General features: G+C 42.2%; 1 protein-coding gene across 11 annotated transcripts in view; it reads left to right on the forward strand.

Moving 5' to 3' along the window:
* C3orf20 (chromosome 3 open reading frame 20) overlaps positions 1 to 12,805 on the forward strand; it is a 97,896-nt gene that overhangs the window by 14,237 nt on the left and 70,854 nt on the right. For 10 of the 11 annotated variants that reach the window (XM_006713341.3, NM_032137.5, NM_001184958.2 and 7 more), the window contains exon 5: positions 620 to 739. In XM_006713341.3, the coding sequence (XP_006713404.1) occupies positions 620 to 739 (120 nt within the window). Of the gene's footprint in view, positions 1 to 619; positions 740 to 12,805 lie in introns of those variants that run through there. The other variant, XM_011534157.3, reaches the window with a different exon arrangement.

Consider the following 12,805-nt stretch of genomic DNA (forward strand, 5'->3'; position numbering starts at 1 on the left):
CACCTAAAATTTTCTAACAGTGGTTTCACGCCTAACCAGTGAAATGACTATATTTGGGGGAAGAATAAACAAATGATTTGGTGAGGTTTGTATAAGAATGAACAAGATTTTCCACTAGCCATAAGGGTGCTACATTTTAATTCTTAAGTGGTCAGATATCAAACGATTCTATAAAAGATGGTGTGATTCTGCAAGAGACTGATATATTATTGAAGAAGCATCTGATGTCTGTGGCTTAGATAAGGGGGAATAGATGGTTCTTAATTTCCTTCTTGCTGGCCCAAGGCTTATCCTCTTGACCTGGTGCAGCACTGATACCTGCCTTTGCCCTTGGAGTAATATCACTTTTCGTGCTTGCTTGCTGTTCCTTGTTCCGGTCCCCCTCTTGAGAGGGTTGGGGAGGAGAGGCACTGCAGAGGGGAACTGTAAAGATTTCCTCTAATTGCTCTGCCGGTGCATTGCAAAATCTTCTTCCAAGATCTAGGTGTTTTGTAACAATGCGGCACTTTACAGTATGTGACCCACCGTACTACTAGAACAAGAAATCCATGTTACATTTTTGGCTAATAAAATTAAAAGTAAACAGTTGAAAGAAGAATCTCTCTCTCTCCCACTCCAGAGTCCCTCGCAAACATGTCCGCCATTGGGGTGAACTCGCCTTACCAGCTGATCTACCACTCTTCCACAGCCTGTCTGAGCTTTTCTCTCTCTGCTGGAAAAGAAGCCAAGAAGAAAATAGGTAAAAATGGTTCCTCGTGGCCTACCATTCATTGGTGGTGGCGGTGGGGTGGGGGATAGGTTTCCGTCTACCCTGTGTAGGTTGGTGGGATGGTTTGATTTGGTCTTCTGATTAGAAGGATACATAGCGGCTCTGCCTGGAGATCCAGCAGCTGTCCACACAGATTTGCTCATGGAAAGGTTGTCACAGTCCAGCCCTATCACTGCATAGCACAGGCTCATCATTTCAGCTTGCTCATGCCCTACATTCCCAGCGATGTGGCGTCCCTCCTCTGGGACAACATCCCACCAAACCCATCTCTTCTATCCCTACAGTATCCCAAACTCACGCCTCTGCTCAGACAGCTCTGTCCAGTCACACAGCAAGTGGGGGAACTAGTATCTGAAGAGAGGTATTTGGATACCAAACCTGGTAGACCTCAGTTGCACTTCCCAAATTGGGCAAGTTTTTATGGGCAGGAAACAAAGACATAGGAGATACTCCTATTCTACTGAGGAAGACACACACAGGAGAGGCTTCAGGAAGAGAACAGGTGGCAGACAAAGACAACCAATGTGACAATACCTGCTCAGGAAGAAGCTCAGAGGAGAGACAGGCTGGGGCTGCAGACAACAGGACAAGGTCTGGCAGAACTCCCAGGCCCACCCTGCTAGCCATGACAGCTGGGTTGTGGGGACAGGGTAGGTAGGAGAGGACCACGTTCCTGAAGGTGGTGGGAGGGTGGATGGCAGGCAGGAATGCTCAGGCTGTCCAGATGACTCCCACAGACACTGGAGGTAAGGCTGGAAGCCAAGGAGCTTGGATTTCCTCCGTGCCCCAGCCCCTGGCTGGCTGTTTGACCCGCCTTCCTCAGCCCTCACCTCCATGTTGGTAAAAGGGGGATGGTCATCATGGGCGTGCCTTGTATTTCATCACTCACCATATCGAGCTGATCCTATACTCTTTCCGTTATTGAACAAATGGTTATTGAACACTTGCTAACTGTCAGTCTCTGTACCAAATGCTGGGGATACAGATGTGGACTTGTAAGACAGAAAATGCCTTGCTTAAAGGAGCTGACCTCCTCCTTCCGGGCACGGAGTAGCTTCAGCGGCCGCCACACCTTCCTGACTGCTCTACCTGTGTTGATGTGCTTCATCTCATTGTGGTACAATAACCCACAGCACCATTGCCAGCACCCCATTGCATGTGCGCCTGGCTTAGTACTCCATTATCATGTGCCCTCCTGAGCTGGCCCTAGATCTGGCCCTGTGATCCCACAGTCAGTTTGAGGGAAAAGAAAGTACTCTCAAGACACCTGGTGATTTAATGACTTTTTCTGCGTAATGAACTTGAGGGTGATGTCTTGAGCAAGGCTGTTTCAAAGCAAGAGTTAAATACAGAAGTCCTCCGTATCCAGGGTTTCCCCTTTCTGTGGTTTCAGTTACCCATGGTCAACTGCGGTCCAAAAATATTAAGATATTTTGAGGCAGAGAGAGAGAGGGACCACATTCATATAACTTTTTTTAATTTTAAATTTTTGTGGGGATAGTCGGTATATATGTTTATGGGTTATGTGAGATATTTTGATACAGGCACACAATAATCACATCAAGCTAAATGGGGTGTCCATCACCTTATGCATTTATCCTTTGTGTTACAAACAATTCAATTGTACTCTTTTAGTCATTTAAAAATATATAATTAAATTATATTTGACTGTAATCACCCTGTGTGCTATCAAATACTAGGTCTTATTCATTCTTACTGTTTTTTTTGTATCCATTAGCCCTCCCCACTCCACACTACCCTTCCCAGCCTCTGGTAACCATCTGCTCTCCATCTCCATGAGTTTAATTGTTTTAATTTTTAGCTCTGATAAATTAGAACATAAGAAGTTTGCCTTTCTGTGTCTGGCTTATTTCACTTAACATAATGATCTCCAGTTTCATTCATGTTGTTGCAAATGACAGGATCTCATTCTCTTTTTATGGCTGACTAGTACTCCATTACGTGTATGTACCACACTTTCTTCATCCATTTATCTGTTGTTGATTGACACTTAGATTGCTTCCAACTCTTGGCCATTATGAGTGGTGCTGCCCTAAACATGGGAGTGCAGATATCTCTTCATTATACTGATTTCTGTTCTTTCAGGTATATACCTACGTGTGGAATTGCTGGATCGCATAGTAGCTCTATCTTTATTTTTTTGAGGAACCCCCAAACTGTTCTCCATAGTGGTTGTGCTAATTGACATTCCCACCAACAGTTAGGAGGGTTTCCTTTTCTCCACATCCTCACCAGCATTTGTTGTTGCCTGTCTTTTGGACAAAAGCCATTTTAACTGGGTGAGATGATATCACCTTGTAGTTTTAATTTGCATTTCTCTGACTATCAGTGATGTTGGGCACCTTTTCATATACCTATTTGCCATTTGTATGTCTTTTTTTGAGAAGAATGAGCTTGAAAGATCACTCAATCAGATTATTAGATTTTTTTTCCTGCAGAGTTGTTTGAACTCCTTATATATTCTCGTCTGGTCAAATGGGTAGTTTGCAAATATTTTCTCCCATTCTGTGGGTTGTCTCTTCACTTTGTTGATTGTTTCCTTTGCTGTGCAGAAGCTTTTTAACTTGATGTGATCTGATTTGTCCATTTTTGTTTTGGTTGCCTGTGCTTGTGGGGTATTACTCAAGAAATCTTTGCCCACTCCAACGTCCTGGAGAGTTTCCCCTAATGTTTTCTATTAGTAGTTAATAGTTTGTGGCCTGAGATTTAAGTCTTCAATCCATTTTGATTTTATTTTTGTGTATGGTGAGAGATAGGGGTCCTTCTGCATATGGTTATCCAGTTTTCCCAGCACCATTTATTGAAAAGATTGTTCTTTCCCCATTGTATGTTCTTGGCACCTTTGTCATAAATGGGTTCATTGTAGACGTATAGATTTATTTTGGGGCTCTGTATTGTGTTTCACTGGTCTACATATCTGTTTTTATGCCAGTACCATGCTGTTTTGGTTACTATAGCTCTGTTGTATAATTTGAACTCAGGTAAGATGATTCCTCTAGTTTTATTATTTTTATTTATGATAGCTTTGGCTATTCTAGGTCTTTTGTGGTTCCATATAAACTTTAGGAATGATTTTTCTATTTCTGTGAAGATTGCCATTGGTATTTTGATAGCGATTGCATTAAATCTGTAGATTGCTTTGGGTAGTACAGACATTTTAACAATATTTATTCTTCCAATCCATGAACATGGAATAGCTTTCCATTTTCTGATGTCATCTTCAGTTTTTTGCATCAGTGTTTTATAGTTTTCATTGTAGAAATCTTTCATTTCTTTAATTCCTGACTATTTTAAATGGAATTACTTTCTTAGTTTCTTGTTCAGACTGTCCACTGTTGGCATATAGAAATGCTACTGATTTTTATATGTTGATTTTTGTATCCTGCAACCTTACTGAGTTTATCAGTTCTAATAATTTTTTGGTGGAGTCTTTAGGTTTTTCCAAATATAAGATCATATCATCTGCAAACAAGGATAGTTTGACTTCTTCCTTTCCAATTTGGATGCCCTTTATTTCTTTCTCTTTTCTGATTGCTCTAGCCAGGACTCCCAGTACTATATTGAATAATGGTGGTGAAAGTGGGCATCCTTGTCGTGGTCCTGATTTTAGAGGAAAGGCTTTCAGTTTTTCCCCATTCAGTATGATATTAGGTATGAATCTGTCATATATGGCTTTTACTATGTTAAAGCATATTCCTTCTATACCCAGTTTTTTGAGGGTTTTTATCATGAAGGGATGTTGAATTTTATCAAATGCTTTTCCAGTATCAGTTGAAATGGCCATAGGGTTTTTGTACTTCATTCTGTTGATAGGATGTATCACATTGATTGATTTGCATATGTTGAACCATCCTTGCATCCCAGAGATAAATCCCACTTGGTCATGATGAATGATCTTGATCTTTTTAATGTGTTGTTGAATTCAATTTGCTAGTATTGAGGATTTTTGCACCAGTATTCATCAGTGGTATTGGCCTGTAGTTTTCTTTTTTTGATGTGTCTTTGTCTGGTTTTGGTATCAGAGTAATATTGGCATCATAGAATGAGTTTATAAGTATTCCCTCCTCCTCTATTTTTCAGAAAAGTTTGAGTAGGATTGCTATGTTCTTTAAATGTTTGGTGGAATTTGACAGTGAAGCTATTGGGTCCCAGGCTTTTCTTTTCTGGGAGACTTTTTATTATAGTTTCAATCTCGTTACTTGTTATTGGTCTGTTCAGGTTTTGGATTTCTTCATGGCTCAGTTTTGATAGGTTGTATGTGTCTAGGAATTTATCCATTTCTTCTAGATTTCCCAATTTATTGACATATAGTTGCTCATAATAGGGACTAATGATCCTTTGAATTTTTGCAATATCAGTTGTAATGTCTCCTGTTTCATCTCTGATTTTATTTAATTGGGTCTTCTCTCTTTTTATCTTAGTCTGGCAAAAGGTTGGTCAAATTTGTTTTTAACTTTTTAAAAAAACAGCTTTTGTTTTTATTGATCTCTTGTATTGTTTTCCTTGTTTCAGTTTATTTATTTCTGCTCTTATCCTTATTATTTCTTCTACTAATTTTGTGTTTGGTTTGCTCTTGCTTTTCTAGTTCTTTAAGTTGCATCATTGGGTTGTTTATTTGAAGTTTCTCTTCTTTTTTTTTTGAGATGAAGTCTCACTCTGTTGCCCCAGGCTGGAGTGCAGTGGTGTGATCTCAGCTCACTGCAACCTCCACCTCCCGAGTTCAAGCAATTCTCCTGCCTCAGCCTCCCGAGTAGCTGGGATTACAGACATGCACCACTATGCCTGGGTAATTTTTGTATTTTTAGTAGAGACAGGGTTTCACCATGTTGACCAGGCTGGTCTTGAACTTCTGACCTCAAGTGATCCACCTTCCTTGGCCTCTCAAATTGCTGGGATTACAGGAGTAAGCCACCATGCCTGGGCTGAAGTTTTTCTTCTTTTTGATGTAGGCACTTAACAGCTATAAATTTTCCTGTTAGTACTGCTTTCACTGTATCCCACAGGTTTTGGTATGTTGTGTTTCCATTGTCTTTTGCTTCAAGAATTTTTAAAATTTCCTTCTTAATTTCTTCACTGACCCACTGGTCATTCAGGAGCATATTGTTTAATTTCCATGAATTTATATAGTTTCCAAAATTCCTCTTGTTGATCTCTAGTTTTATTCCATTGTGGTCAGCGAAGATGGTTGCTGTTATTTCAGGTTTTTTTTTTTAAATGTTTTAAGACTTGTTTTGTGACCTAACATATGATCTAGCTTTGAAAATGACCCACGTGCTAAGGAAAAGAATGTGTATTTTGCAGCCATTGCATGAAATGTTCTGTAAATATCTATTAGGCCCATTTGGTCTATAGTATAGATTAAGTCTGATGTTTCTTTGTTGATTTTCTGTCTAGAAGATCTGTCCAGTGCCGAAAGTGGGGTGTTGCTATCTCCAGCTATTATTTTATTGGTGTCTTTCTCTCTCTTTAGCTCTAATAATATTTGCTTTATACGTCTGGCTGCTCCAGTGTTGGGTATATATATATTTACTTATGTTATATCTTCTTGCTGAATTGACTTCTTTATTATATAGTGACCTTCCTTGTCTCTTTCTATAGTTTTTGTTTCAAAATCTATTTTGTCTAAGTATAGCTACTCCTGCTCTTTTTTGATTTCCACTGGCATGTAACATCTTTTTTTCGTTCCTTTATTTTCAGTTTATGTGCGTCTTTATAAGTAGAGTGTGCTTCTGATCATGGGGTCTTGTTTTTTTATCCATCCAACAACCCTATGTCGTTTGATTGGAGAGTTTAGTCCATTTATATTCAATGTCATTATTAATAAGTAAGGACTTACTCCTGCCATTTTGTTGTTTCTCTGGTTGTTTTGTGGTCTTCTCATTCTTCTTTCCTTCCCTCCTGTCTTCCTTTTACTGAAGGTGATTTTCTCTGGTGATATGATTAAATTTCTTGTTTTTTTTTTTTATTTTTTGTGTACCCATTGTGTGTTTTTTGATTTGAGGTTACCATGAGGCTTGCAAATACTATCCTATAACTCATTATTTTAAGCTGATAACAACTTCACACTGTTTGCATAAACAAAGAAACAAGCAAAGAGAAAACTAATAAAACTCTACACCTTAACTTCATCCCCCCACATTTTAACTTTTTGTTGTTTCTATTTATATCTTATTGTACGATATCTTGAAAAGTTGTTGTGCTATCATTATTATTATTATTATTATTATTATTATTATTATTTTGAGACGGAGTCACGCTCTGTCACTCAGGCTGCAGTGCGGTGGCACGTCTCGGCTGACTGCAACCTCTTTCTACTGAGTTCAAGCAAGCCTCCTGCCTCAGCCTCCCAAGTAGCTGGGACTACAGACACATGCCACCACACCCAGCTAATTTTTGTATTTTTAGTAGAGATGTTGGCTAGGCTGATCTCGAACTCCTGACCTCAAGTGATCTGCCTGCCTCGGCCTCCCAGAGTGCTGGAATTATAGGCGTGAGCCACCATGCTGACCTGTAGCTATTATTTTTTATGAGTTCGTCTTTTAGTCTTTCTGCTTGAGATAATAGTAGCTTACACACCTCAGTAACAGTGTTGTAATATTCTGGTTTTCTCTGTACTATTACCAGTGAGTTTTATACTAACACCTTTTCTTTCTGATTGAAGTACTGCCTTTAGCATTTCATGTAGGAGAGGTCTGGTGTTGATGAAATTCCTCAGCTTTTGTTTGTCTAGGAAAGTCTTTATTTCTTCATGTTTTAAGGATATTTTCACAAGATATACTATTCTAGGGTAAAAGGTTTTTTCCTTCAGCCCTTTAAATATGTCATGCCACTCTCTCCTGGCCTGCAACATTTCCACTGAAAAGTCTGCTGCCAGACAATTGGAGCTCCATTGTATGTTATTTGTTTCTTTTCTCTTGCTGCTTTTAGGATCCTTTTTTAGGATCCTTGACCTTTGGGAGTTTGGTTATTAAATGCCTTAAAGTAGTCTTCTTTGGGTTAAATCTGCTTAGTGTTCTGTAACCTTCTTGTACTTGAATTTTGATATCTTTCTCTAGGTTTGGGAAGTTCTCTGTTATTATTTCTTTGAATAAACTTTCTACCCCTATCTCTTTCTCTAGCTCATCTTTAAGGCCAGTAACTCTTAAATTTGCCCTTTTGAGGTTATTTTCTAGATCTTGTAGCCATGTTTCATTCTTTATTCTTTTTTCTTTTGTCTCCTCTGCATTTCCAAAGAGGCCGTCTTCAAGCTCACTAATTCTTTCTTCTGCTTGATAAATTCTACTGTTAAAAGATTCTGACTCATTCCTCAGTATATCAATTGCATTTTTAAATCCAGAATTTCTGCTTGATTCTTTAAAATTATTTCAGTCTCTTTTTTAAATTTTTATTATTTTTTTATTATACTTTAAGTTCTAGGGTACATGTGCACAATGTGCAGGTTTGATACATAGGTGTACATGTGCCATGTTGGTTTGCTGCACCCCCCAACTCATCATTTACATTAGGTATTTCTCCTAATGCTATCCCTCCCCCAGCCCCCAACCCCCCTGCTGCCAACAGGCCCTAGTGTGTGATGTTCCCCCCTCTGTGTGCAAGTGATCTCATTGTTCAATTCCCACCTATGAGTGAGAACATGCAGTGTTTGGTTTTCTGTCCTTGTGATAGTTTGCTGAGAATGATGGTTTCCAGCTTCATCCATGTCCCTGCAAAGGACATGAACTCATCCTTTTTTATGGCTGCATAGTATTCCATGATGTATATGTGCCACATTTTCTTAATCCAGTCTATCACTGATGGACATTTGGATTGGTTCCAAGTCTTTGTTATTGTGAATAGTGCTGCAATGAACATACGTGTGCATGTGTCTTTATAGTAGCATGATTTATAATCCTTTAGGTATATACCCAGTAATGGGATTGCTGGGTCAAATGGTAATTCTAGTTGTAGATCCTTGAGGAATCTCCACACTGTCTTCAATCTCTTCGTTAAATGATAGAATTCTGAATTCTTTCTCTGTGTTATCTTGAATTTCTTTGAGTTTCCTCAAAACAGCTATTTTAAATTCTCTGTCTGAAAGGTAACATATCTGTTTCTCCAGAATTGGTCACTGGTGCCTTATTTAGTTCATTTTGTGAAATCATGTCTTCCTGGATGGTCTTAATGCCTGTGGATGTTCATCAGTGTCTGGGCATTGAAGAGTTGGGTATTTATTGTAGTCTTCACAGTCTGGGGTTGTTTGTACTTTTCCTTTTTGGGAAGGCTTTCCAGGTATTTGAAAGGGTTTGGGTGTTGTGACCTAAGTCATGTCTGCATTAGGGGGCACCCCAAGCCCAGAATGTTGCGGTTCTTGCAGACTCAGAGAGGTACTGCCTTGGTGATCTTGGATAAGATCCAGGAGAACTCTCTAGATTATCAGGTAGAGACTCTTGTTCTCTTCCCTAGTTTCTCCCAAACAAATGGAGTCTCTCTCTGTGCTGAGCCACCTGGAGCTGGGGATGGGGTTACACAAGTACCCCTGTGGCCACCACCACTGGGAGTGCACTGGATGAAACCTAAAGCCAGCACAGCACTGGGTCTTGCCCAAGACCTGCTGTAACCACTACCTGACTACTGCCTATATTTGCTCAAGGCCCTAGGGATCTACAATCAGCAGGTGGTGAAGCCAGCCAGGTTTCTGTTCTTCCCTTTAGGGCAGACAGTTCCCTCAGGCCCCAGGCAGGTCCGGAAATGTTGTCTGGGAGCCAGGACTAGAGTAAAAAACCTTCAAAATCTACCTGATGTTCTATTGTACTGTGGCTGAGCTGGCACTCAAACTGTGAGACACAGTCCTTCCCACTCTTCCCTCCCTCTTCCACAGGCAGAGGAGTCTCACCCTTTGGCCACCACCACCAGGTCCATGGGGAGTACTGCCAGCCTACTGCCACTGTTCACTTAAGGTCCAAGGACTCTTCAGTTAGGCCTGGGACTCACTTTTCAGGGCAGTGGGCTCCCCTGTGCCCCAGGACAGGTATAGAAATGCCATCTGAGAGCCAAGGCCTGGAATCAGGGACCCCAAGAGCCCCTTAGTGCTCTGCCCCCTCATTGCTGAGCTAGTACATAAGGTGCAAGACGAAGTCCTCTTTACTTTTCCCTCTGCTTTTCTCAAGCAGAAGGAGTCCCTCACTGTGACCATCACATCTGAGAATGTGCTGAGTCTCTCCTGAAGCCAGCATGTCTCAGAGTGTCACCCAAGGCCCACAGCCTACTACCTGGGTATCACTGCTGGTTATTCAGGGCCCAAGGACTCTTCAGTCAGCGGGTGATGGGTCCTGCCAGGACTGGGTCCTTCCCTTCAAGGCAGTGGGTTCCCTTCTGGCCCAGGATGTATCTAGAAATGTCATCTGGGAGTAGGGCCTGGAATGGGGGCCTCATGACGCTAACTTGTACCCTATCCTACTGTGGCTAAACTGGTATCCAAGATGCAAAACAAAGTCCTTTTTACTCTTCCCTCTTCTCTCCTCAAGTGGAAGAAAGGGGTCTTTTTTGGAGCCATGAGCTGTGCCACTTGAGATTGGGGTGGGGGGTGTCACAAGCACTCCCTTAGCTGCCCCAGCTGGTGTCTCAGTAGGTTGCATGCCCTCTAAATCCACTGGCTCTGAGCCCAGCTCAGCACTAAGGCTTGCCTGGGAGTTGCAGTCCTTGCGGCCTAGGCTGCCTTTCAAGTTTATTTAGAACTCCAGAGCCCACAGTGGACAGGCTTGCCAAAACACAGGATGCAGCCACTTGGGATGGGTAATTCCCCTTTGGCTAGGGCAGGTCTAAATGCTCCCTCCATGAGTGGGCTTCAGCTGAGTTCAGCCTGATTTTGCTTTCCACTGTGACAGGAAAGCACTGAGTTCAATGTAAAGTCTGACAATCACTGTACTCTCCCTCTCCCAAATGCATAGACTCTCTGTGCCTTGCAGCTGCTGCTGGGGATGGGGAAGGGTTGTGTCAGCAATTCAAGACTGTCTTTCCTACCTCTCCAGTGCCCCTTTCAGCAATATGAAGTTAAAATCAGGTACTATGAGTGCTCACCTGGTTTTTGGTTATTTTGAAGACGCTTTTTTTGTGTAGGTAGTTGTTAAATTTGGTGTTCCTATGGGGAGAACAATCAGTAGAGCCTTCTATTTGGCCATCTTTCCCCACTCCTCCACCTAACTTTCATTACAATATATTGTTTTAATTGTTCTATTTTAGTAGGAGTTATTGTTAATCTCTTAGGGTCTAACTTACCAATTAAACTTTATCATAGGTGTGCATGTAAAAAACTTAGCATATACAGGTTTGGTACTATCCATGCTTTCAGGCATTTACAAGGGGTCCTGGAATGTATTTCTCAAGGACTCGGGGGATTGCTACATGTCTATTGGCCTCTTGTCTATGTGGCTGCTTTCCTTTGCCACCCAACTTTTAGCTGCCTTGTTGCATCCATTGACACTGGGAAGTATATTCAGTGATGCTGCATTATAGGGTCTTAATCTTGTTTAGGAATTAGGCTGACACATGCATGCTAGCATGGGTGATTAGCCTTGCCTCATAGCTCGTAAGTAACTCTAGCCCAGCAATGTCCCAGTTTATGCCTGTTGTCCTATGACATATGTATGAATGATGCCTGGTTTTGCTATAGCCATTCTGGTTTGAAGTCACTTTGGGTGTCGGGGCCTCCACCATCCATTCCATGTCCACATGCTATTCCACCTCACCTGCTGACAGTTCTGGGGCCAGGCTGACTTTCAGCATCAGTTCCAGGAGTTGGGCTTACTCCCTGAGGGGACGGCAGCTATTTCTGGAAGGTGTCCAATGTTACAAGAAGAGAACTGTTAATAGCAGTTCCTAGTCAGAGCAAGAGACCGTCACCTTTGGGGAGCCCAAGGCACCTGGGGCAGGCCAGACATGGAGGCTCAATCCAGCAGATGCTCCAGGTGGCCTGCTAGCAGGTCGCTGGACCTCAGGCCCTAGGCTTGAGTTCAGGGTTCAGTCTCTGGTCCCTGTTGGCAGGAGAAGTGGGGGAAGTGACCAGGAACCACTCAGGGTGGCAGATACCAGAGATGGTTCCCAAGCACTGGCCAGAAACCCCCAGGCTTCACCAGCAGCAAGGAGGGCTCCATTCTGAGGCCCTCAGGGTTTCAGTTAGAGCCTGAGAAATGCCCCCACCCAAAGCCAGGTTTCATCCTCAAATCCAAGGTGAAGTTAAGCCTGCATACTTCGAGGCTGCAGCTGGGTGGGAGTCAGAGGTTCATTGTAGGTAGGACCTGACACAAATGACTAAATAGATGCCCCTGGAACCTAGGGTGGGATATCACTGCCACGACTCCACATGACCACATCCTCATACCACCTGACACCTATCATGGAGGACAGCTGTGAAAATTAGTATCACAGGCACAGATCGTTGTCATCCAGGTCATGCAGATCATTGTCATCCGGTCTGCAGAGACTCAGATGACAGTGATCTGTGCCTATGGCACTTGGGCTCCCTCGAGAAGACCCAAGATTAGCCATCATCAGAGAAGTTTTCAAGCTGATTGAGAAGAAATAGAGACTTTGTGTCTTTAATCAGGTGAATCAAAAGGGTCCAATTCAGTGAGGGCCGTCCAGCCCTGGAAATGCTCTCTTTTCCTGGAACCCGGGGAGACATGGCCAGTCTCATCACTTTGCACAAGTCAGTCCCTGACACATCCATCACAGATGACTCGCAGTATGAGTAACATCTCTGTTTGATAAATGACCAGTCAACAATTCCTGGTGAGCATCAATGATACCCCCAATATTCTGACATTTAAAGGATGCTGCTCTCCTGCTCTTCTTGGCCCCGTGTCCCCTGGTAAACACAATGTCTTGAAAAACCATTTTCTGAAACCCCTCCTGTATTAGTTTTCACACTGCTGATAAAGACACATCCAAGACTGGGAAGAAAAAGAGGTTTAACTGGACTTCAGTTCGACATAGCTGAGGAGGCCCCAGAATCATGGCAGGAGGCGAAAGGCACTCCTT

The sequence above is a fragment of the Homo sapiens genome, chromosome 3 (assembly GCF_000001405.40).
Source record: "Homo sapiens chromosome 3, GRCh38.p14 Primary Assembly".
NCBI classification, from domain to species: domain Eukaryota; kingdom Metazoa; phylum Chordata; class Mammalia; order Primates; family Hominidae; genus Homo; species Homo sapiens.